Genomic DNA, 26,230 nt, shown 5'->3' on the forward strand with positions numbered 1-26,230 from the left:
AAAATAGTACTATTGTTTTCCCCTCTGGATATTTAAAACAACACCACAAGGGGCATCAAACCACCTGCTAAATTTGAGGGAATGTTATCCTCTCCCCTCCTCCCCCGGCCCCGGATATTAGAGACAATAACACAGGGTTGATGTACACCCACTGCTTTATTGGGAGTAATATCATCCTCTCCCTTCTTGGATATTAGGAACAATATCACATTGTGCGTGTACGCCTGTCGCGAAATTCAATGGAATGTCATCCTGCGCCTCCCTGGATATGACGAACAATATCACGGGGGATGTATAACTTCTGAGATATTGGGAGTGATATCATCCTCTCCCTTCTGGAACTTAGGGACAATATCTCAGGGATAGTGTACACCTTCTGGGATATTGGGATATCATCCTCCCGCCCACTGGATACTAAAAACCATATCACAAGGGGCGTGTACACACACTTTGATATTGGTATGAATACTATCCTCTCCCTCTTTGGATATTCGGTGCCATATTTCAGGTGGGGTATACACCACCTGCAATATTGGCAATAATATGATTTTCTCTCCCCCTGGATATCAGAAACAATATCACAGGGGGTTGTGAACAACCCCTGCGATATTTGGAGGAATATCATCGTCTCCCCTCATGATTATTAAGAACAATATCGTAGGGGTGGGGGATGTACACCCCCTTTCATATTTGATATCATCCTCTTCCCCCCTGGATATTAGGAACAATATCAGGAAGGGATGTACAGACCCTGCGACCTTTGCTGTCATAGAATTCTCTCTCCCCTAGATATTAGGAAAAAATGTCACTGGGGATGTGAACATCCCTGCGATATTGAGAGTAGTATCATCCTCTCCCCCCTTGCATATTGGGAACAACATCACAGGAGGGGTGTACTGCCTCTGTGATGTTGGGAGTGAAATTTTCCTCTCTTCCCCTGGACATTAGGAAGGGTATCAGGGGGAAGGTGTACATTCCCTGTGATATTCAACGTAACCTTATCCTCTCCCTCCCAGGGTATTCAGAACAATATTACAGGAGGGGTGTACACCCTCTGCGATATTGAAAATGATATCATACTCTTTCACTCTGGATGTTAGGAACAATATCACAGGGTGGTGTACCCCCCCTGCGATATTGGGAGTCATATCATCCTCTCTCCCTGTGGATATTAGGAAGAGGATCACAGGGCTGTGGAAACCCCCTGCGGTCCTGGGAGTAATATCATCCTCTCTCCCTCTGAAAATAGGAAGATTTTCACAGGGGTGTGTTCACCCCCTGCGATATTGGGAGTAAGATCATCCTCTCCACCCAGGAAATGACTAACAAGGTCATGGGGATGTGTACTCCGCCTGCGATTTTGGGAGTAATGTCATCCTCCCCAAACCTGGATGTTAGCAACCAGATCACAAAGGGGTTGTACACACCCTGCGACATTGGATGTAATATGATCCTCTCCCGACCTGGATACAGAGAAAGATACCACACCGCGGGTATACGTTTCCTACACTGTTGACAGCAATATCATTCTTTTCCTTTCTGGATATTAGGAAGAATATCACAGGGGTGCTGTACAATTACTTCGATATTGGGAGTAATATCATCCTCTATTTTCCTGGACATTGGGCACAAAAACAAAAAAGGGTGTACAACCCCTGCGATATTGGGAGTAATAGCATACTCTCCTTCCCTGGATGTTAGAAAACAATATCATCGGGGCTGAACACCCCCCACGATGACGGGAGTCATGGTTACTCTTTCACAGGCCATTTGGAACAATATCACAGGGGGTGTTTACAAACAGGGGTGGTGTACACCCCCTGTGATATTGGGAGTAACATCATTCTCTCCACCTCCGGATATTAAGAACAATATCCCGGCGGGAGGTGGTACACCCCCAGTGATATTGCGAATAATGTCATCCTCTCCTTCCCTGGATATTAGGAACAATATCACAGGGGGGTGTACAACTTCTGTGATATTGGAAGCAATATCATCCTCTCCCCCGCTGGATATTAGAAAAAAATATCACTCACGGTGTACACCCACTGTGACATGAGGAGTAATATCTTCCTAGGGTATTACGAATAATTTCACAGTCTGTACACACATGGTGTACACTCACTGTGGTATTAGGAGTAATATCTACCTAGTAGATAACAAATAACATCGCAGGGTGTACACCCACTTTGATATTAGGTGTAATATTTTTCTAAGTTGTTACAAATAAGATCACAGGGTGTACCAACATGGTGTACACTCACTGTGATATCAGGAGTCGTATCTCTGTAATACCTTATGAATAATATCACAGGGTGTACACCCACTGTATTATTAGGAGTAATATCTCTGTAGGATATTACAATTAAGATCACAGGGTGTAGAGCCACCATGATATTAGGAGCAATATCTTTCTAGGATATTACAAATAATATCACAGGGTGTACGCCCACTCTACTTTCAGGAGCAGTATCTCCCTAGGATATCAAAAATCCTGTCACATGGTGTCCAATCTCTGCCTTCCAGGTTCTAAGGGATTCTCCTGCTTCAGCCTCCTGAGTAGCTAGGGTTACCAGCCACCATGCCCGGCTAATTTTTTTTTTTAATTTTCACTGGAGACGGGGTTTCACCAGGTTGGTCAGGCTGGTCTGGAACTCCTGACCTCAGGTGATCCATCAGCCTCGGCCGCCCAAAGTGCTGGGATTACAGGTGTGAGCCATGGTACTGGGCCAAAAGTTATAGATTCAATTCATTTGGAAACACAGCTCCCATTTTTGAGTGTGCATGTACTTTTATGAAGAAATGATGTCAGAAAACCGAAGGATGATGATAAATATGAAAAGTAATTGGCATGGGAAAAACTCTTCCGATTGAGAATTATATTTGATTTCATTTTCAGATAATGGGGTCCTAGCTCTTGTGTCGTCCTTTTACATATTCTACATCAATGGAAGTTGTAGCACCGTGTCAGAATAAAGTAGAGTGTATTTCATGGCTTCTTAATTTCTTTCAATTAGACTGAGATCTTTTTCTTCAAGAGAGAAGGACACTGTCATTGCATTGTATTTTTTCTGAAAAGAGTAGGCCGTATTTTACTGAGATCACGGAGTTGTTATATGTGACGTTTTGGTCTTCTAATATTCTTCAGTGGATTTTCTCTAAAGTAGTATGAACAGAAAGCCTTGTATAGCAAAAAGTAAATCACGTAATAATTCTGAGATTTTTGGAATTGTCACAACTGAGAAACATTGCTGGCGGTGTATGGTCCGCAAGTGTCAAGATGTTCCTTGTGAATTGCTTGCATCCAGCATTAAGGGCTGGTTTTTATCTTTTATTTTTCCAATCCTCTTTCCTTCTCAAGGTGTCCAAGACACACAGAGCCACGGAATCTCACAAGTGTCTGAGAATTCCTCCTCCTGGGACTCTCAGAGGATCCAGAACTGCAGCCGCTCCTCGCTTTGCTGTCCCTGTCCCTGTCCATGCATCTGGTCATGGTGCTGAGGAACCTGCTCAACATCCTGGCTGTCAGCTCTGACTCCCCCCTCCACACCCCCACGTACTTCTTCCTCTCCAACCTGTGCTGGGCTGACACCGGTTTCACCTCGGCCACGGTTCCCAATATGATTGTGGACATGCAGTCGCATAGCAGAGTCATCTCTCATGCGGACTGCCTGACACAGATTTCCTTCTTGCTCCTTTTTGCATGTATAGAAGGCATGCTCCTGACTGTGATGACCTATGACTGCTTTGTAGCCATCTGTTGCCCTCTGCACTACCCAGTCATCGTGAATCCTCACCTCTGTGTCTTCTTCGTTTTGGTGTCCTTTTTCCTTAGCCTGTTGGATTCCCAGCTGCACAGTTGGATTGTGTTACAATTCACCATCATCAAGAATGTGGAAATCTCTAATTCTGTCTGTGACCCCTCTCAACTTCTCAAACTTGCTTGTTCTGACAGCGTCATCAATAGCATATTCATGCATTTCCATAATACTATGTTTGGTTTTCTTCCCATTTCAGGGATCCTTGTGTCTTACTATAAAATCGTCCCCTCCATTCTTAGGATTTCATCGTCAGATGGGAAGTATAAAGCCTTCTCCACCTGTGGCTCTCACCTAGCAGTTGTTTGCTGATTTTATGGAACAGGCATTGGCGTGTACTTGACTTCAGCTCTGTCACCACCCCCCAGGAATGGTGTGATGGCGTCAGTGATGTACGCTGTGGTCACCCCCATGCTGAACCTTTTCATCTACAGCCTGAGAAACAGGGACATACAAAGTGCCCTGTGGAGGCTGCTCAGCAGAACAGTCGAATCTCATGATCTGTTCCATCCTTTTTCTTGTGTGGGTAAGGGCAACCACATTAAATCTCTACTTCTGCAAATCCTGCCTCTTAGTCACATTATTTTTGTGGCTTGATGGCTTTTATTCCTTTCCGCATTTCCTTTGTGAATATTGCTTTCTTCGTTATGCCTTTAACTGGAATGGGTGAGGATTCTGGGATCCTTTGTTTAGCAGAAACCTCATGACTGAATCCTCTATACCTAGGCGGCCTCTTTTAGTTTCTGAGCAATAACCCTGTCATCCAGGTGGAATCACAACCATCTTTTCATATACACGAAGTCCTCACTTCGTTTTGGAATTCCCTGAAAACTGACTTTATGGAAACAATGTACAGGAGGTCCTCCAACACCATTGGTTGTTCAAAGTTATGTAGTTATACTGTTGATGAAAAATAAGTGGTTTCACTATACATAATTTTGCTTCAAGGTGACGTTTCCAAGAGACTTTCAAAGATGTTAAGTGAGGACATACTGTACATCAAATTCATATCCTCTTCCACAGTTCATGTGGAATTTCTTTATAAACTGCTTCTATAGAATCTATTTAGGCAGGTTATGTAGAGAGATCCATGTCGCCATTCTTCAATCTTGGCTTTGAGTCAAATCACCTGGGGAGTTAAAAATGATGAGGCCTGGGTCTCAATACCTGAGATTCTGATTTCCTTGCACCTGTGTGAGTGTGTGGATTTTTTTTTTTTTTCTTTTAAAGCACCAGAGGTGGTTCCAATAATGAAGTTTTTAGAGGCATCAAGCTCCAAAGAGTAAGAGCAGAAATTAATTGTAGTATGATTTCTTCAAATATTATCTTCAAATGCATTGTCCAGCAACACCATACAAATATTTATTATGTTGTTTTTTCTTACCATTTCGCATTTTCTATTTCTTTCCCTTTTTTTTTGAGTCAGAGTTTCACTCTTGTTGCCCAGGCTGGAGTTCAATGGCACGGTCTCGGCTCACTGCAACTTCTGCCTCCCCTATTCAAGCAATTCTCCTGTCTCAGCCTTCCAAGTAGCTGGGATTACAGGCATGCGCTACCATGCCTGGCTATTTTTTTTTTTTTTTTTTTTTTTGTATTGTTAATAGAGACAGTGTTTCTCCATTTTGGTCAGGCTGGTCTTGAACTCCCGACCTCAGGTGATCCGCCCGCTTCCGCCCCCCAAACTGCTGGGATTACAGGCATGCGCGACCGCGCCCAGCCACCACTTAGCATTTACATTTTACATTTGTTGAAGTTCTACATTTATACACACATTGATTGCTGCTTTGTTATACACTTGCATATACATAAGATGGGAAACAGAAAAGAATAAAATGGGCACAGTATCCCTGAAGTTTCACATTCCGAGACATTTTAAAAATATTTGCTCTTCAGAAATTTGTTTCAATGAAGAAACTGTGGTATACACACCCAATGAAGTATTATGCAACCTAAAAAGGAAGAAACTCCTCTCCACTGCAGACAAAATGGATGAGACTGCAGATCTGTACATTAAATGAAAGAAGCCAGGCACAGAATGACAAATATTTCATGTCCTCACTTCTATGTAGGAAGAAAAAAGGAAACCATGGCCAGGTGTGGTGGCTCAGGCCTGTAATCCCAGCACTCTAAGAGGCCGAGTCACACAGATCACTTGAGTCCAGGAGTTCGAGACCCGCCTGGCCAACATGATGAAACCCCGTCTCCACGGTAAACACAAAAAATGAGTCGGGCGTGGTGACCTGTGCCTGTAGTCTCAGCTACTCGGAGGGCTGAGGCCCAAGAAGCGCTTGAACTCAGGAGGCGGAGCTTGCAGTGAGCCCGGACTGTGCCTGTGTACACCAACCTGGGCAACAGAAAGAGACTCCATCACACACCTGCACACAAAAGGAATCTCAAGAAGGTGGAAAGTATAAAGATGGTTAGCAGACGCTAGGAAGAAAAGGGGTGAGATAGGGAATGAAGAAAAGTGGATAATTGAGTCCCAAAATACAGAAAGATGGAATAAGTGAGTTCTAGTGTTTGATAGTACAGTATGAAAATTTTAGTTCACAAGAATTGCTTGCATATTTCCAGATGCTTTGGTAAGAAGCTTCCTAACTTTCTCATTATGCTGGTTTTTAAGCTCTTCTGTTTCTGCTCTTGAAATCATGCTGGTTTTTTGTTTTTTGTTTTGAGATGGAGTTTCACTCTTGTTGCCCAGGCTGGAGTGTCATGGTGCAATCTTGGCTCACCGCAACCTCTGCCTCCTGGGTTCAAGCGATTCTCCTGCCTCCACCTCCCGAGTAGCTGGGATTACAGGCATGCGCCAGCACGCCCAGCTAATGTTGTATTTCTGGTAGAGACGGGGGTTTCTCCCTGTCGGTCAGGCTGGTCTTCAACTCCTGACCTCACGTGATCCACCCGCCTCGGCCTCCCAAAGGGCTGGGATTACAGGCGTGAGCGACTGCGGCCGGCCCATGCTGTATCCTTATCTGTTGTCAGTTGTTGTTTGTTTGTTTTGGAGCCCAGAAATAACTTCTCACCTTTATGTTCACATGATTTTTCACGAGTGCTAAGAAAGCTCATTGGTGGAACAGCAGCCTTTTCAAGAAATGGTGTTGGAGAAACTTGATTTCCACATACAGAAGAATGAAGGTGGACCCTATGTCACACCAGGTGCAAAAATTAACAAAAACTGGATCAGAGACCTCACCCCAAGCGCTAAAAGTATGACACGCCTAAAAGAAAACATTGGCCACGCTTTCATGACATCAGATTGGGCAATGTTCTCTGGGATATGACACCAAAAGCATAGGCAACAAAAGAAAATTAGATTCCTTGGATTACATATAAATGACAGACACTTTTGTGCAGCAAAAAACATGGCGAACTGAGTGAAAACATAACCCATGGATTAGGAAATATATTTGCAAAGCATATATCTGAAAAGAGGCTGACAGCCATCATATATAAAGAACAGCTAGAACTAAACAACAAGAAACCCAAAGCATCCCATCAACAATGGTCAGAAGACGCGAGTAGACGTGTCCCTAAAGAAGATATCACAATGGCCAATAAGCATCTAAGGTGATGTTCAAAATCACTCATCATAGGGAAGCACAAATCAAACCAAGAATGTGATACCACAGATTAGGATGGATGTGATAAACAAACAGGCATTGGTGAGACTAGAGAGAAGTAGGAATGCTCGATTCTGATCGGAGGGAATGTAAAACCGTGAAGGAGTGGGGGAAAATAGTATGGCGTGTACTGGAAAAATTAGAAACAGAATGATCAGATGTTCCCGCAGTTGCATTTGTGGGTACCTACCAAAAAGAATTAGAAGCCAGGAGTGGAAGACAGATTTGTGTACACCCATATTCATAGCAGCATTATTCACAACAGCCAAAATGTGGAAGCAACCCAAGGGTTCGTGGACAGATGAATGAAAAAGCACACTGCAGTTCTTTCATACAATGGAAGACCATTCAGCCTTCAAAAGGCAGGCACTTCTGGCCGGTGCGGTGGCTCACGCCTGTAATCGCAGCGTCTTGGAAGACCGAGGTGGGCGGATCACCTGAGGTCAGGAATTCAAGACCAGCCTGGCCATCTTGGTGAAACCCTGTCTCTACTGAAAATGCAAAAAATGAAACGAGCGTGGTGGCGTGTGCCTATAGTCCCAACTACTCAAGAGGCTGAGGCACAAGAATCGCTGGAACCCAGGAGGCGGAGGTTGGAGTGAGCCCCGATTGTGCCACTGCACTCCAGCCTGTGCGACAGAGTGAGACTCCATGAAAACGCAAAGCAAAACAAAATAAAACCAAATGAAAAAAAAAACAACAAAAACAAACAGGCACTTCTGACGCAGGCCGCAACATGGATGAACCTTGAAGACATTATCGTCAGTGAAATAAATAAATCCCAAAAGGATAAACATGCCCAGTCTCAGTGGCTCGCACATGTAACCCCAGCACTTTGGGAGGCTGAGGCAGGCGGATCACTTAAGCTCAGGAGTTCGAGAACAGCCTGGCCAATATGGTGAAAGCTCGTCTCTATTAAAAATACAAAAATTAGCTGGGCGTGATAGCGCACGCCTGTAATCCCAGCTACTCGGGAGGCTGAGACACAAGAATCGCTTGAACCCAGGATGTGGAGATTGCAGTGAGGCGACATCACGCCACTGCACTCCAGCCGGGGTGACAGAGAAAGACTCTGTTTCCAAAACAAAACAATTAAATACAGTATGATTCCATTTATCTATTAAGTGTCTAGAGTAGTTAAACTCATAGAGTTACAAACTAGAAAGGTGGCCCCCAGGGGTGGGCGAGAAAGAGGAGTGGAGAGCTTGGTGAATGGGTGCAATTTCCATTTTGAAAGATAAAACTGTTCTGGAGACGATGACGGTGATGGTTGCTAAACAATGTGAACGTACTTAATGTCATGAAACTGTAAACTGAAAAAGCATGGAAACTGTAAATGTTTATACTGGCCATTCTATATGAAGTAATATATATTTATAATTTTTAATATTTATATGTGGTATATTTTCCCATAATAAAAGATGAAAATTAAAGCAGTTGGATGTTTAAAAAGAAAAGAAAGAAGGGAAGAATACACACTAGCTTTCTCCTGATTAGAGGAAGAGCCCCAAATCTTCTATGGACACTCACTTTTCTCTTCTTCTTCTTGCATTATTATACGGACATCCTTAGAGGTTGGGGAACTTGGGTGACTTTGGCTAAGAAGGAGCTCTGTGCCTTGAGCCCCCCAGGCCACAGAATAGTAAATAGTCAGTCTGTGCCTCCAGCCCTGCAGTGTGGGGTTCCAGTCCTGTGGGCTCCACTCCCGTCACCTGTATCACCCTGTCTTCTTGCCAGCCTTGAAGACGGAGTCTGAGCCTCCATGGTGCACCACACAGGGAGGACAGTGGACCTGTTCTCCGTGGTCATGGCCCAGCAGAGGGGAAGGGCAGTTCAGTGAGTGTAGGGAAAAGAAAGAGATCAGACTCTTACTGTGTCTATGTAGAAAGGAAAGACATAAAAGACTCCATTTGGAGAAAGACCTGAACTTTCAACAATTGCTTTGCTGAGATGTTGTTAATGTGTAGATTTGCCCCAGACACTTTGACCCAACCTGAAGCTCACAAAAACATGTGTTGTATGAAATCAAGGTTTAAGGGATCTAGGGCTGCGCAGGACGTGCCTTGTTAACAAGATGTTTCCAAGCAGTATACTTGGTAAAAGTCATCGCCATTCTCTATTCTCAATAAACCAGGGGCACGATACACTGTGGAAAGCCGCAGGGAGCCCTGCCCTTGAAAGCGGCATATTGTCCAAGTTTTCTCCCCATGTGATAGTCTGAAAAGTGGCCTCGTGGGAGGAGAAAGACCTGACCGTCGCCGAGCCCGACACCCGTAAAGGGTCTGTGCTGAGGTGGATTAGTCAAAGAGGAAAGCCTCTTGCAGTTGAGAGAGAGGAAGGCCCCTGTCTCCTGCCTGCCCCTGGGAAATGAATGTCTCGGTATAAAACCCGATTGTACATTTGTTCAATTCTGAGATGGGGGAAAAACCGCCCTATGGTGGGAGGCGAGACAAGTTTGCAGCAATGCTGCCTTGTTATTCTTTACTCCACTGAGATGTTTGGGTGGAGAGAAACCTAAATCTGGCTGATGTGCATGTCCAATCATAGTACCTTCCCTTGAACTTCATTATGACATAGATTCTATTGCTCACATCTTCGTTGCTGACCTTCTCCTTATTATCACCCTGCCCTCCTACTACATTCGTTTTTGCTAAAATAATAAAAATAATAATCAGTAAAAACTGAGGGAACTCAGAGGCCAGTGCCGGTGCAGATCCTTGGTATGCTGAGCGCCGGTCCCCTGGGCTCACTGTTGTTTCTCTATACTTTGTCTCTGTGTATTATTTCTTTCCTCAGTCTCTCATCCCACCCGACTAGACATACCCACAGCTGTGGAGGGGCAGGCCACCCCTTCAAGTGAGTGCTGAGGGAGGGTCGGGAGCCTTGTTTGGTTCCCTTCTCCTCAGGACAAACAGGAGAGTGTGGTGGACAGATGGGAGGAGACCAATGTGCAAACTGTCCGCTCAGCAGACTGTGCAGTTTCTGTTCTTGGTTGTGCTGGGGGTCTCAGAAATCTTATTCAAAATTTTGCTCTCCTCCCCCACTGGTTGTCCTTTTCATAGACATCTCACTCATGATAGCAGGGAATCAGTCCCTCTAAACTATTCCCTAAGAACAACAAAAAGATTATGAAGGTGATGATGAGGATAAAGAGGATGATGACAGACACCATGGCATCATGAACCCTTACTGAGGGCTTCCTAAAGGCCAGGCTCTGAGCTCTGTGCTCTATGCAGCTTGTTTCATTTCATCTGCGTAGTCTCCACTTTATTAGTGCACATTTCAGGATGATTTTACAGACTAGAAAAGGAGCAACGCCTTTTCATAGAACTCGTACTAGATCATGAGGTCAAAAAGGGTGAAGTCCAATTTGAACCAGTCAGTCTAAGTCCAGACACATGGCATTTGGCCAGTCCTCTCCCTGCAACCAACCTGCCCTCTCAAATCCTCGTCACTCAGGCGGATGCCCCTGCTCACTATGCCCTTCCCTTTCGGGGTTCCTTGTAGAACACAGCTAGACCAGTGGGTGCCACAATCACTGTGTCAAGTATGGAAAGGACAGCTGAGATCACATCGAGGATTCCAGAAAGAATTGGCACAGGATCATTCGGGGCGCATCTCTCCCTTGCCCCTGTTCCTGGCTTTCTGTACAGCTCTTGACTTCCACAAAGCAGTCATCAATTCGGAGTTTGGCTTCCATTCCTATTGAGGAAGCTGGAAAGCGTTTCAAAAATGCTCCTCCGATGTGCCTGTGGTTACGACCTCTGAGCTCTGCTTAAAGCTTTTGGAAGCTGGGAGCCGTGGCTCACGCCTGTAATCCCAGCCCTTTGGGAGGCTGAGGCAGGCGAATCACAAGGTCAGTAATTCGAGACCAGCCTGGCCCACATGGTGAAACCACGTCTCTACTCAAAATAGAAAAAAATGAGCCAGCCGTAGTGGCGGGCGACTGTCATCTCAGCTACTTCGCAGGCTGAGGCAGGAGAATAGCTTGAACCTGGCATGCAGAGGTTGCGGTGAGCTGAGATCACTCCACTGCACTCCAGCCTGGGCAACAGAACGAGACTCCATCTCAAAACAACAAAAACAAAAACAAAAAACAAAAAAAACCACAACTTTTTGAGAGTTGGAAGACCAGGAAGTATAGTACCCGGGACTTCGAGTCTGGCCATGAATTTTGAATACCACACTTTCTACTTCTCTGTATGGCAAAGGGTGAGATATCCATCCTCTGAGACTCACCACTCTCATCTGACTTGATTTCCAGTTGATCCGATGGAAGTGAGTGATGATTAAGCTGATCGTGGGTGCCCGCTGCGTGATCTCTAGGTGACGGATGCATAAAGTAAAGGCAAAATGAATTTTAGATATATTCCTTAAGATTTTCAGCTTCAACTCCACACAATTCAACGGAAATATCCCCTGACCTGAAGTTCTGCTTTCCCTGCATTCCAGACAGGACATTTTGTTTTGTCCTTCTCTCAGTAAGGACTGAGTACTGTAAGAGGAACAAGTGAGTCTCTTTGTTTTCTGATTCCCCAGAGCCTATATCGTGCTTGGCACATAGGAGACAGCAAACGTCAAATATATGTTAATGATTGAATTGACACTTCCTTGCTTCACCAAAATTGGCTGTCATCAGCGTGACTTTGACTTACTTGATTCTTTTTGTTTTTTGTTTTTTGAGACGGAGTTTTGCTCTCGTTGCCCAGGCTGGCGTGCAGTGGTGTGATTTCAGCTCACTGTAGTCTCTGCCTCCCAGGTTCAAGCCATTCTCCTGCCTCAGCCTCCCGAGTAGCTGGGACTACAGGCGCACGCCGCCATACCGGGCGAAGTGTTTGTATTTTTAGTAGAGGTGGGGTTACACCATGTTGGCCAGGATGGTCTTGATCTCCTGACCCAGTGATCCGCCCTCCTCGGCCTCCCAAAGTGTTGGGATTACCGGCGTGAGCCACCGCGTCCGGCCAAACTTTCTGATGAAAACTCTAAGTCCACCTAAGCTAAGGACAGGAGTTAGAGCTTCCATGAATTTTAAAACAAGACCCACCGATTTGAGTAAGCAATTACTCTCTCGAAGGAGAAAAGTCCGAAAACACAATGATGAAATCACTAGGACCTAACTGGCATGTGGAACTATTTTCTGCTTATGAACTATCAACTTCCATTTCATTTCCAGATGGCATGGTCTCAGCTGTTATACAGTGTTTACAAATGTTCTAAATCAAGGGAATTTGTATCAATCTCGTAGAATAAATAAAATATTTGAGTTCTTAATTTCCTTTAATTAGGATAACCTTTTTCTTAAAGTGAAGACAATGCTTTTATTACATCTTTTCCTTCGGAAAAGATAGGCTGTATTTTCTAGCAATTACGAATTTGTTATATATGACGATCTGGTTCTTGGAACGTTCTTGAAGCTAGTGTCTCTAAGGCAGGTGTGTACAGCAAGACGTGAATAACACAGCAATCGATGATGAAAGCATTATAAGACAATTGAGTTTGTCAGAACTACAAAATATTGCTGAGTGTGGATTGCTCTGAAATCTGAAAACATTACTTGTGAATTGCTTCTATCCAAAATGCAGACACAATGCTGGGTATTGGTTTACTTGTTTCCGATTTTTCAACCCTCTTTTCCAGGCAAAAGAGGGTTGTATCCAAACGATACAGACCCACAGAGTCTAACAGATGTCTCTATATTCCTTCTCCTCGAACTCTCAGAGGATCCAGAACTGCAGCCGGTCGTCGCTGGGCTGTTCCTGTCCATGTGCCTGGTCACGGTGCTGGAGAACCTGCTCATCATCCTGGCCGTCAGCCCTGACTCCCACCTCCACACCCCATGTACTTCTTCCTCTCCAACCTGTCCTTGCCTGACATCGGTTTCACCTCCACACGGTCCCCAAGATGATTGTGGACATCCAGTCTCACAGCAGAGTCATCTCCTATGCAGGCTGCCTGACTCAGATGTCTCTCTTTGCCATTTTTGGAGGCAGGGAAGAGAGACATGCTCCTGAGTGTGATGGCCTACGACCAGTTTGTAGCCATCTGTCACCCTCCATATCGTTCAGCCATCTTGAACCCGTGTTTCTGTGGCTTCCTAGATTTGTTGTCCTTGTTTTTTTTTTCTTTTTTTTTTTTTCCCTCAGTCTTTTAGACTCTCAGCTGCACAACTTGATTGCCTTACAAATGACCTGCTTCAAGGATGTGGAAATTCCTAATTTCTTCTGGGAACCTTCTGTGACACCTTCACCAGGAACATCAACATGTATTTCCCTGCTGCCGTATTTGGTTTTCTTCCCATCTCGGGGACCCTTTTCTCTTACTGTAAAATTGTTTCCTCCATTCTGAGGGTTTCATCATCAGGTGGGAAGTATAAACCTTCACCACCTGTGGGTCTCACCTGTCAGTTGTTTGCTGATTTTATGGAACAGGCGTTGGAGGGTACCTCGGTTCAGATGTGTCATCTTCCCCGAGAAAGCGTGCAGTGGCCTCAGTGATGTACACGGTGGTCACCCCCATGCTGAACCCCTTCATCTACAGCCTGAGAAACAGGGATATGAAAAGTGTCCTGCGGCGGCCGCACAGCAGCGCAGTCTAATCTCAATATCTTCTTATCTGTTCCATTCCTTTTGTAGGATGGGTTAAAAAAGGCAGCAAGGTCAAATAAGAATGATATCACAGGGTGAACACCCATTGTGTCATTACGAGTAATACCTTCCTAGGATACAGAATATACTGTCACAGAGTACACACACATGGGGTACACCCACTGTGATATTAGAAGCAATATCTCCCTAAAGTATGATGAAAAATATCACAGGGTGTGCATACTGTGTGATATGAGGAGTCATATTTTCCCTGGATATCACGACTCATATCAAGGGTGTACACACACCGGGTACACACACTGTGATATCAGGAGTTGCATCTCCCTAGGATATTATGAATAATATCACAGGGTATACACTATGTGTGAACATCCACTGTGACATTTGAAGTCATATCTCTCTATGAGATGACAAATAATATCAAAGTGTGTACACCCCTGTGACATATTAGGAGTAACATCCTTCTAGGGTATTGCAGATAACATCACAAGGTGCACAGCTTCTGTGACCTTTTGCGCACACTTTGTGCCATTCAAGGAAACATCTCCCTAGGATATTAAGAATAATGACACAGGCGGTTGACACACATGGTGTACATCTCCTGCGCCATCAGGAGTAATATTCCCCTAGGATATTACGAATAATATCACAGCAGGTGTACATATATGGTGTTCACCCCATGTGACATTAGGAGGAACATGCCCCTAGGATGTTAAGAATAGTATCACAGGTGTTGAATACACATGATATACACCCTGGTGCCATTGAAAGTAACATACCCCTAGGACATTACGAATAATATCACAGGGAGTACACCCCGTGTGACATTAGGAGTAACATCCCCCAAGGATATAACGAATAATATCAGGGGGTGCACATACATTGTGACCTTAGTGGTAACATCTCTTTAGGATATTACCAATAATATCACAGGTTGTCCACTGACCGTGATATTAGGAGTCCCATTTTCCTAGGATATTATGGATAATATCACAGGAGGTGTTCACACACAATGTGTACACCATGTGTGTACACTCAACGTGATATTTGAAGTCATATGTCCCTAGGATCTTACGAATATTATCAAAGGGTGTACACCCCATGTGACATTAAAAGTAACATCCCTTTTGGATATTCCGAATGCTATCACAGGGTGTGATATTAGGAGTGTGATATTAGGAGTAAGCTCTTCCTAGGATAACCCATGTGATATTAGGAGTAACCCCTTCCTAGGATATTACGAATAACATCACAGGGTGTACACCCCTGTGACTTTAAAAGTAACACCCCCCCTAGAATATTACAATAATATAACAGGGTGTACAACCCCTGTGACATTACGGTAACATCTCCCTAGGATATTTCGAATGATGTCACTGGGGGCACACCCTCTGTGATATTAGCAGCAACATCTTTCTAGGAGATTACGAATGATATCACAAGGTGTACACTCACTCTGATATTGGAAGGAATATCTCCCTAGGATATAAGCTATCACATCACAGAGTGTACACACATGGTGTACACCCACTGTGTTATTAGAAGCAATATCTCCCTATGATATTATGAAAAATATCACAGGGTGTACCCTCTGTGGGATATTAGAAGTAATGTTTACCATGGATATTACAAATAATATCACAGGATGTACACACATGGGGTACACCAACTGTGATATTAGGAGTTATATCTCCCTAAGATATTACAAATATTATCCCAGTGGGTGTAGCCCATGTATGTACACCCACTGTGATCATTAAAGTAATATCTCTCTATCAGATTGCAAATAATACCGAAGGCTGTACACCACCTGTGACATTAGGAGTAGCATCCCCCTACAATATTGGGAGCAATATCACACGGTGTACACCCCTGTAACATTAGGGGTAACATCCCCCCACAATATTACTAATAATATCACAAGGTGTACACGCATTGTGACATTAGTAGTAGTACCCAGCTAGCATATTTTCAATAATATCACAGAAGGAACACACCTGTGACATTAAGAGTGACATCCCCCTGGAGGAGTAAGAATATTATCACAGGGTGTACACCCCCTGTGATATTAGGAGAATCATCTCATCAGAATATTACGAATAATGTCACAGGGTGTTATCTTCTGTGACATTAGGAGTATAGACCCCTGGGAAATTATGAATACTATCACAGGGTGTACACCCCTGTGACATTAGGAGTAGCATCCTTCTAGAATATCATGAATAATATCACAATGCCTACACCCCCTGCGTCATTAAGAGTACAATTGCACTAGGATATTATGAAAGAGAACACAGGGAGAACACGCTGTGTGACATTAGAAGTCACATCCCCCGAGGATATAAGGAATAATATCAGAGAATGTACATGCATTGGGACATCGGTAGTCACATCTCTTTAGGATAATAAGAACAATATCAAAGGGTGTACACGCATTGTGAAATTAGTAGTGAACTCCCGCTGGGATATTACGAATTTTATGACAGGGTCTACATGCCCTGTGACCTTAGTAGTCACGTTTTCCTAGAATATGACGAAGACTATTAAAAGGTGTACAGGACCTGTGATTTACGAGTAACATTTCTATAGAAGATTACACGTAATATCACTGTGTGTACACCCCGTGTGACGTTAGGAGTCACATCCCAAAAAACTATAACGAAAAATTTCACAAGGTGTGCAACATCTGTGGCATTAAAAGAAACATTTCCCTAGAATATGATGATAATATCACAGAGTGTACACCCTCGGTGATATGAGGAGTGATATCTTATAAGGGTAATAAGAGTAATTTGACAAGGTGTACAAACCCTGTGACATAAGGAGTGACATCCCTCCAGGATATTCCGAATCATACCAAAGGGAAACTACTCCGTGTGACAAAAAAATCAACCTCCCCTTAGGAGATTAAGAATAATGGCACAAGCTGTACACACATTGTGACATTATTATTAACGTCCCGCTAGGGTATTGCGAATAATATCAGAGTGTGTAGACACTTGTGACATCAGGATTCACGTTTCACCACATTATCACGAATAATATCACAGGGTGTATACCCCCGGGACTCAAACAGTGACACATTCCTAGAATATGGAAAATAATGTCCCAGGGTGTTAACCAAGTGTAGCAGTAGAGAAAACATAATACGAGAAACGGAGTAATATCACCCCCTCTCCCCCACTGGATATTACGAGCCCCATCGCAGGGGGGTGAGGCGCCCCCCGCGATGCGGGGAGTAAGAGCCAGCCCCTCTTGCCCCCCTGGCTCTTAAGACCCCCATCGCAGGGGGGCGAGGAGCCCCCCACGATGCGGGGAGTAAGAGCCAGCCCCTCTTGCCCCCCCTGGCTCTTAGGATCCGCGGTGGACTCACAGCCTGTTTAACATATTGTGAGTAATATCACCTCCCCCTCTGGAGATTTTGAACTGTTTCACAGACCGCTGTACACCCGTCTGTATTGGGAGTAATATCATCCTCTTCCTCTCTGAATATTAGGAACAGTATCACAGGGGTATTTCTACTCCCTGGGATACCAGGTGTCAGGTCGTCCTCTCCCACGTTGCAACTAGAAACTATATCAGTTGGGGACGTGTCCACTTTCTGTGATATTGAAAGCAATATTATCCTCTTCCCTCCAGGATCATGGGAACGATATCCTTGGGGGTGTCCACTTTCTGCCATATATGTAGTCATATCACCCCCTCCGCCTTGGAATATTTTTAAGGACCATCTCACACGGGGGTGTACACTTCCTGTGATGTTGGGAGTAATAGCATTCTCTTCTTCTGTGAATATTAGGAGCAAAATCACGGGTGGATGCACACTCAGTGCTATATTGTGAGTAACGTCATACTCCAACCACTGGAGATTTTATTCGGATCAATGTCACTGGCTGGTTGTACACCTACTGCGATATAGAACGTAATATCATGCTCTCTCCCTCCCTGGACATTACGAGCAATATAACAGGTGGGTATACACCCACTGAGGTATTAGGGCGTAATATTAGTATGAATTATTCCTCATTTATTATTAACATGAATATGAATGACCGATATTAATATTAATATTAAGAAATAATTGCTAATAAAAAGTTTTCAGATTATTAATATTAATAATTATTAGGAGCTAATATGACTGTTTTCTAATGAATAAGATCAATATCAGTTATTAATATCAGGCATCATTAATCATTAATATAATCATGTATTGTTATCTTTAGTATAAGTATTTAATATTAATTATTATTATCGGTATTGATTTTAAAAATTATATTATGGGTTATTAAAATTGATAATTATTAGCGCCAATTAATAATTGAGATTATTAATTGCAGTAAGTCGCATTGCGCCATTCCACTCCTCCCTCAACAGCTCGTTTACAACCCAAAACGGGGACACAAATGCCCCTGAGAGAGCAGCGATATACTGGGTTAGATGAGGATGGTCACGTGCTGGAGAGGCGTGTTTTTGGGTACCAGCCCTTCACCTGTGTCGACCTTCTCAACTGGGAAAACAATACAACGCCCCATACCGAAAAGCCACAAGCCCTAATTGATTTGCTCCAAGCTGTTATCCAGACCCACAACCCCACCTGTGCTGATTGGCACCAGTTGCTCATGTTGCTCTTTAACAGCGAAGAAAGGCGGAGAGTCCTCAAGCAGCAACTAAGTGGCTAGAGGAACATGCACCAGCTGATTATCAAAACGCCCAAGAGTATGGAAGGGCCCAGTTGCCAGGAACCGACCCTCAGTTGGACCCACATGAAAGAGGGGATATGCAAAGGCTAAAGCGAGACAGAGAAGCTCTCCTGGAAGGATTAATGAGGGGAGCTCAGAAGGCCACAAACGTTAACAAGCTCTCTGAGGTCATTCAGGGTAAAGAAGAAAGTCCAGCACAATTCTACCAGAGACTGTGTGAGGTCTATCGTATGTATACTCCCTGTGATCCCGATAGCCCTGAAAATCAGCACATGATTCACATGGCTTTAGTCCGTCAAAGCCCAGAAGACATGAGAAGAAAACTGCAGAAACAGGCTGGGCTTGCAGGGATGAATCCATCCCAATTACTAGAAATAGCTAGCCAGGTGTTTGTAAACAGGGATGCAGTAAGCCGTAAGGAAAACGGCAAAGAGAATGGAGGTCAGGCCCGGCGATATGCCGACCTGTTTGTCAGCTGCAGCAATCAGAGGGGCCCCCACAAAGAGGCAAGGGAAGGGAGGCCCTGGGAAAGAAACTCAGCTTGGCTGTCAGAGTTTGCAGCGTAACCAGTGTGCTGATTGTAAAGAAATAGGACAGTGGAAGAACAAATGCCCTCAGCTCAAAAGAAAACAAGGTGACTCAGAGCAGGAGGCCCTGGACAAGGAGGAAGGGGCCCTGCTCAACCTGGCAGAAGGGTTCTTGGACTGAGGGAGACCCGGCTCAAGCGTTCCCAAAGAGCCTCTGGTCAGAATGATAGTCAGGGGTGGAGATATTGACTTTCTTGTAGATAGCGGTGCTGAACATTCACTAGTAACCGCCCTTGTTGCCCCCTTATCCAAAAAGAATATTGACGTCATCGGAGCCACGGGGGTTTCAGCAAAGCTAGCTTTCTGCTTGTCTCAGACTTGTACTGTAGGAGGACATAAAGTCATTCATCAGTTTTGGTACATGCCTGACTGTCCCTTGATCTTTTTAGGAAGGGACTTGCTCAGCAAGCTGAGAGCCACTATCTCTTTGACAGAGCATGGCTCTTTGCTGGTAAAGTGACCCGGAATGGGAGTCATTATGACCCTTATGGTTCTCCGAGAGGAGGAATGGAGACTTTTCTTAACTGAGCCGGGCCAAGAGAGAAGACCAGCTCTGGCTAAGCGGTGGCCAAGAGTACGGGCAGAAGACAACTCTCCGGGATTGGCCAGTGAAGACGGGCCCAGCCGGTGAGGCAAAAACAGGACCCGGTCCCCAGAGAAGCCCTTCAAGGTATCCAGGTCCGTCTCAAGCACCTAAGAACTTTTGGAATTATTGTTCCTTGTCAGTCTCCATGGAACACTCCCCTCCTGCCTGTTCCCAAGCCACGGACCAAGGACTACCAGCCGGTTCAGGATTTGCGCTTGCTTCATCAAGCTAAACTGACTTTACATCCAACAGTAAATAACCCGTCCACATTGTTGGGGTTGCTGCCAGCTGAGGACAGCTGGTTCACCTGCTTGGACCTGAAAGACGTTTTCTTTCCTATCAGATTAGCCCCTGAGAGGCAGAAGCTGTTTGCCTTTCAGTGGGAAGATCCGGAGTCAGGTGTCACTACTCAGTACACTTGGACCGGGTTTCCCCAAGGGTTCAAGAACTCCCCCACCATCTTCGGGGAGGCGTGGGCTCGAGACCTCCAGAAGTTTCCCAGGAGAGACCTAGGCTGCGTGTTGCTCCAGTAGGTTGAGGACCTTCTGCTGGGACACCCCACGGCATTCGGGTGTGCCAAGGGAACAGATGCCCTACACCGGCACCTGGAGGACTGTGGGTAGAAGGTGTCCAAGAAGAAAGCTCAGATCTGCCGACAGCAGGTACGTTACCTGGGATTTACTATCCAACAGGGGTCGGAACACAGCCCGGGGTCAGAACGAAAGCAGGTCATTTGCCATCTAGGGGAGCCTAAGAGCAGAATGCAGGGGAGAATTCTTAGGAGCTGTGGGGTTTTGTAGACTGTGGATCCCAAACTTTGCAGTATTAGCCAAGCCTTTCTATGAGGTCACCAAGGGGACAGGGACCGGGAACCTTTGGAATGCGGATCCCAACAACAGCAAGGCTTTCATGAGTTAAAGGAAAAACTTCTGGCATCCCCAGCCCTGGGGCTACCTGATCTGACAAAGCCTATTCCATCGTATGTAACAGAGAGAGAAAAGATGGCAGCTGGACTTTGAACCCAAACTGTGGGGCCCAGGCCGAGGCCAGTGGCCTACATCTCTCAACAACTGGACGGGGTTTCTAAAGGATGGCCCCCCTGTTGGAGGGCCTTGGCAGCAACTGCCCTGCAAGTACAAGAAGCAAATAAGTTGACTGTTGGGCAAAACCTGAACATAAAGGCCTCCCGTGCTGTGGTGACTTTAATGAATACTAAAGGACATCATTGGCTAACGAATGCCAGACTCACCAAGTACCAGACTTTGCTCTGTGAAAATCCCCGTATAACCATTGAAGTTTGTAACAGCCTACACCCCGCCACCTTGCTCCTGGTATCAGAGCCCTGTCGAGCCTGATTGTGTAGAAGTGTTGGACTCAATTCACTCTAGCAGACCTGACCTCCGGGACCAGCCTTGGCCATCAGGAGACTGGGAACTATATGTGGATGGGAGCAGCTTCTTCAACCCCCAAGGAGAGAGAGGTGCAGGGTATGCAGTGATAACCCTGGACACTGTTGTTGAAGCCACATCGTTGCCCCAGGCCACTTCAGGCCAGAAAGCTGAACTCATTGCTTTCATTGGGGCCTTAGAACTCAGTGAGGGTGAGACTGTCAACATTTACACTGATTCTCGGTATGTCTTTTTAACCCTTCAAGTGCATGGAGCGTGATAGAAAGAAAAGGGCCTATTGAACTCTGGGGGAAAAGGCACAAAATATCAACAGGAAATCTTGCAATGATTAGAAACAGTATGGAAACCCCACAAGGTGGCAGTTATGCATTGCAGGGGACACCAGCGAGCTTCCATCTTGCTGGGTTTGGGGAATTCCCGCGCTGACTCAGAGGCTCCAAAAGCAGCATCTGCCCCCTTCTGGGCATCAGTGCTCCCTCAAGCACCTGATCTTGGACCTACTTCTTCTAAAGAAGAAAAGGACTTTCTGCAGGTAGAGGGAAGGACAATTGATGGAGGAAGGATGGATTCGGTTAGCAGATGGGAGAGTAACTGTGCCACAGCTGCTAGGAACTGCAGTTGTACTGGCTGTGCAAGAAACCACCCATCGAGGTCAGGAGTCACTGGAAAAGTTGTTAGGCTGGTATTTCTACATCTCACCTTTGTCAGCCCTTGCCAAAACGGTGAGGCAGCGGTGTGTTACCTGCCGCCAGCATGATGCGAGGCAAGGTCCAGCCGTTCCGCCCGGCATACGAGCTTATGGAGCAGCCCCCTTTGAAGGTCTCCAAGTGGACTTCACAGAGATGCCAAAGTGTGGAGGTAAAAAGTATGTACTAGTTCTTGGGCGTACCTACTCTGGGTGGGTGGAGATCTGGGTCTTCCTCCCCAAACGTGGATGTTAGCAACGAGATCACAGAAGGGGTGTAGACACCCTGAGACATTGGAAGTAATATGATCCTCTCCCCACCTGGATACTGGGAAAGATACCACAGTGCGGGTATACGTTTCCTACGTTGTTGCGAGTAATATCATTCTTTTCCTTTCTGGATATTAGGGAGAATATCACAGGGGTGCTGTGCAATTACTTTGACATTGGGAGTAACATCATCCTCTATTTTCCTGGATATTGGGCACAAAAACACAAAAGGGTGAACAACCCCTGCGATATTTGGAGTAATATTATCCTCTCCCCTCACGATTATTAAGAACAATATCGTAGGCGTGGGGGATGAACACCCCCTTTCATGTTTGATATCATCCTCTTTCCCCCTGGATATTAGGAACAATATCAGGAAGGGATGTACAGACCCTGCGACCTTTGCTGTCATATAATTGTCTCTCCCCTAGATATTAGGAAAAAATGTCACTGGGGATGTGAACAGCCCTGCGATATTGAGAGTAGTATCATCCTCTCCCCCTTGCATATTGGGAACAACATCACAAGTGGGGTGTACTCCCCCTTGCATATTGGGAACAACATCACAAGTGGGGTGTACTGCCTCTGTGATATTGGGAGTGAAATTTTCCTCTCTTCCCCTGCACATTAGGAAGGGTATCAGAGGGGTTGGTGTACATTCCCTGCGATATTCAACGTAACCTTATCCTCTCTCTCCCAGGGTATTCAGAACAATATTATAGGAGGGGTGTACACCCTCTGCGATATTGAGAGTCATATCATCCTCTTTCGCTCTGGATATTAGGAACAATATCACAGGGTTTTGTACCCCACCTGCGATATTGGGAGTCATATCATCCTCTCTCCCTGTGGATATTAGGAAGAGTATCACAGGGGTGTGGAAACCCCCTGCGGTCCTGGGAGTAATATCAGCCTCTCTCCCTCTGAAAATAGGAAGATTTTCACAGGGGTGTGTTAACCCCCTGCGATATTGGGAGTAAGATCATCCTCTCCACCCAGGAAAAGACTAACAAGGTCACGGGGGGTGACCTTGTAAATCCCAGCACTTTGGAAGGCCGAGGCTAGTGGATCACAAGGTCACAAGATCGAGACCAGCCTGGCCAATATGTTAAAACCCCATCTCTACTACTAATACAAAAATTAGCCGGGTGTGGTGGTGTGCGCCTATAGTTCCAGCTACTCGGGAGGCTGAGGCAGGAGAATTGCTTGAACCTGGGAGGCAGAGGTTGTGGTCAGCCAAGATCGTGCCACTGCACTCCAGCCTGGGTGACAGAGCAAGACTCCGTCTCAAAAGATAAAAAAAAAAAAAAAAAAAAAAAGAAAAACAAAAGAAGATGCCATCTAGGAGTTTCATAGCTAGAGAAGAGAAGTCAACGCCTGGCTTCAAAGGACAAGCTAACTCTCTCGTTAGGGCTAATGCAGCTGGTGACTTTAAGTTGAAGCCAATGCTCATTTACTATTTAAAAAATCCTAGGGCCCTTGAGAATTATGCTGAATCTACTCTGCCTGTGCTCTATAAATGGAACAGCAAAGCCTAGATGACAGCACATCAGTTTACAGCATGGTTTCCTGAATATTTTAAACCCACAGTTGAAACCTAATACTCAGAAAGAAAGATTCCTTTTCAAAACATTTATGCTCACTGGTAATGCACCTAAGCCAAGAGCTCTGATGGAGATGTACAAGGAGCTTAATGTTGTTTTCATGCCTACGAACGTAACATCCATTTTGCAGCCCAAGGATCAAGGAGTAATTCAACTTTCAAGCATTGCTATTTAAGAAATAAATTCTGTAAGGCTATATTTGCCATATAGATAGCGATTCCTCTGATGGATCTAGGAAAGTAAATTAAAACCTTCTGGAAATAATTTACCATCTTGGATGCCATTAAGAATACTGGTGATTCATGGGAGGAGGTCACAGCATCAACATGAATGTGAATTTGGAAGAAGTTGATTCCAACCCTCCTAGTGGGCTTTCAAGACTTCAGTGGAGGAAATTAACTGCAGATGTGACAGAAATAGTATGAGAACTTGGCCAGGCATGGTGGCTCATGCCTGTAATCCCAGAACTTTGGATGGCTGAGGCGGGTGGATCACTTGAGGCCAGGAGTTTGAGACCAGCCTGGTCAACATGGTGAAACCCCATCTCTACTAAAATACAAAAAATTAGCCAGGTGTGGTGCTGCGTGTCTGTAATCCCAGCTACTCGGGAGGCTGAGGTGAGAGAATTGCTTGAACCCGGGAGGCAGAGGTTGCAGTGAGCCGAGATCATGCCATTGCACTCCAGTCCTAGGTGACAGAGAGAGACTTTGTCTCGGGAAAAAAAAAAAAAGAAATAGTAAGAGAACTAGAAATAGAAATGGAACATGAGGATGTGACAGAATTACTGCAATCTCAAGATAAAACCTGAACAGATGAGGAGTTGCTTCTTATAGATGAGCAAAGTGGTTTCTTGAGATGAAATCTACTCCTGGTGAAGATGCTGCAAACATTATTGAAATGATAAAGATTTAGACTATGACATAAACTTAGTTGATGAAGCAGTGGCTGGGTTTGGGAGAATTGACTCAAATTTTGAAAGAAGTTGTACTGTGGTTAAAATGGTATCAAACAGTATCACATGCTACAGAGAACTCTTTCATGAAAGGAAGAGTAGATTGATGTGGCAAATGTAATTGTCTTATTTTACAAAATTGCCACAGCCAGCCCAACCTTCAGCAATAACCACCCTGATCTGTCAGCAGCTATCAACACTGAGGCAAGATTCTCCACTAGCAAAAAGATTACGACTCGCTGGCCGGGCACGGTGGCTCACGCCTGTAATCCCAGCACTTTGGGAGGCCGAGACGGGAGGATCACGAGGTCAGGAGATTGAGACCACCGTGGCTAACACGGTGAAACCCTGTCTCTACTAAAAATACAAAAAATTAGCCGGGCGTGGTGGCAGGCACCTGTAGTCCCAGCTATTCGGGAGGCTGAGGCAGGAGAATGGCAAGAACCTGGGAGGTGGAGCTTGCAGTGAGCCGAGATCGCCCCACTGCACTCCAGCCTGGGCAACAGTGCGAGACTCTGTCCCCAAAAAAAAAAAGAAAAAAAAAAGATTACGACTCACTGAAGGTTCAGAAAATTGTTGGCTTATATACACTGAAAAACCAAAAAATGTGTGTGACTTGCTTTATTGTCATGATCTGGAACCAAACCTGGAACATCTCCAAGGTATGCCTGTATACATGTGTTGTACAGGGAGAAAAGCAGGGGAACAAATGAAACTGTAGAGCACACATGTAAAGATATAACTTTGTAAGGGAATAATGACAGAAACTACACGGGAGCTTTGGGACTTACAGTGAGTGCTCAAAGGAAAAGTCTGATAAAAGCTACAGTCACCCAATAACTTAGAAATAAAGTATGAATTTAAGTTTGGATCCAAGAATAATTTATGGCTAAAGAGCAAATAGTCCAAAAGCTTTGTGTATACTGTATCCAAGGCTCACTCACTTGCATATTCCACGTGTGAGACAGGGAAGGAGAGGAGTTCACGCCTACCTGTAAGAAAGGGTATCAAGCCCGTTGATACTTGTATTTGTGTGTGTGTGTGTGTACGTGTGTGTGTGTCTATGTCTCAAACAAGCATCAGTTTCTTAAACAGAAACCTGAAAAGGAAGGGAAAACATTAAATCCTCACTCCATCATCATACATACCTTGTTCAGCACAGAGCTCAGAAGGGCTGAGGGACCCACCACAGAGTCATCTAAGGAGTCCAGAGAAGAACACACCCGTAGAAAGGCCAGGCCAAAGGACTGATGACGCGTGAAGGGTCGGGAGCAGGTCAGGCGAAGTCGATCCCATAACTCTCCTGAGGCTGGAGCCAGGAAATCAACTCAAGGAAAAAAGAGAAACAAAATCAGGGGGGAATGGAAATGCATAAATGGGAGAGACAGAGGAAG

The 26,230-nt window shown here is 45.0% G+C and overlaps 1 protein-coding gene, 1 long non-coding RNA gene and 2 pseudogenes across 5 annotated transcripts in view; 2 read left to right on the forward strand and 2 right to left on the reverse strand.

Annotated features, from left to right (window-relative positions):
- XNDC1N-ZNF705EP-ALG1L9P (XNDC1N-ZNF705EP-ALG1L9P readthrough) overlaps positions 1-26,230 on the reverse strand; it is a 123,614-nt gene that overhangs the window by 85,109 nt on the left and 12,275 nt on the right. For 2 of the 3 annotated variants that reach the window (NR_172893.1, NR_172894.1), the window contains one exon: positions 25,985-26,163. This is a non-coding gene — a long non-coding RNA (XNDC1N-ZNF705EP-ALG1L9P readthrough). The remainder of the gene's footprint in view (positions 1-25,984; positions 26,164-26,230) is intronic. The other variant, NR_172895.1, reaches the window with a different exon arrangement.
- XNDC1N (XRCC1 N-terminal domain containing 1, N-terminal like) overlaps positions 1-26,230 on the reverse strand; it is a 63,086-nt gene that overhangs the window by 24,581 nt on the left and 12,275 nt on the right. For both annotated transcript variants that reach the window (NM_001375848.2, NM_001375847.2), the window contains one exon: positions 25,985-26,163. In NM_001375848.2, coding sequence (NP_001362777.1) covers positions 25,985-26,163 — 179 coding nt within the window. The remainder of the gene's footprint in view (positions 1-25,984; positions 26,164-26,230) is intronic.
- On the forward strand, positions 3,319-4,350 carry OR7E128P (olfactory receptor family 7 subfamily E member 128 pseudogene; annotated as a pseudogene).
- Positions 12,815-14,233, forward strand: OR7E126P (olfactory receptor family 7 subfamily E member 126 pseudogene; annotated as a pseudogene).

Source organism: Homo sapiens, chromosome 11 (genome assembly GCF_000001405.40).
Source record: "Homo sapiens chromosome 11, GRCh38.p14 Primary Assembly".
NCBI lineage: Eukaryota > Metazoa > Chordata > Mammalia > Primates > Hominidae > Homo > Homo sapiens.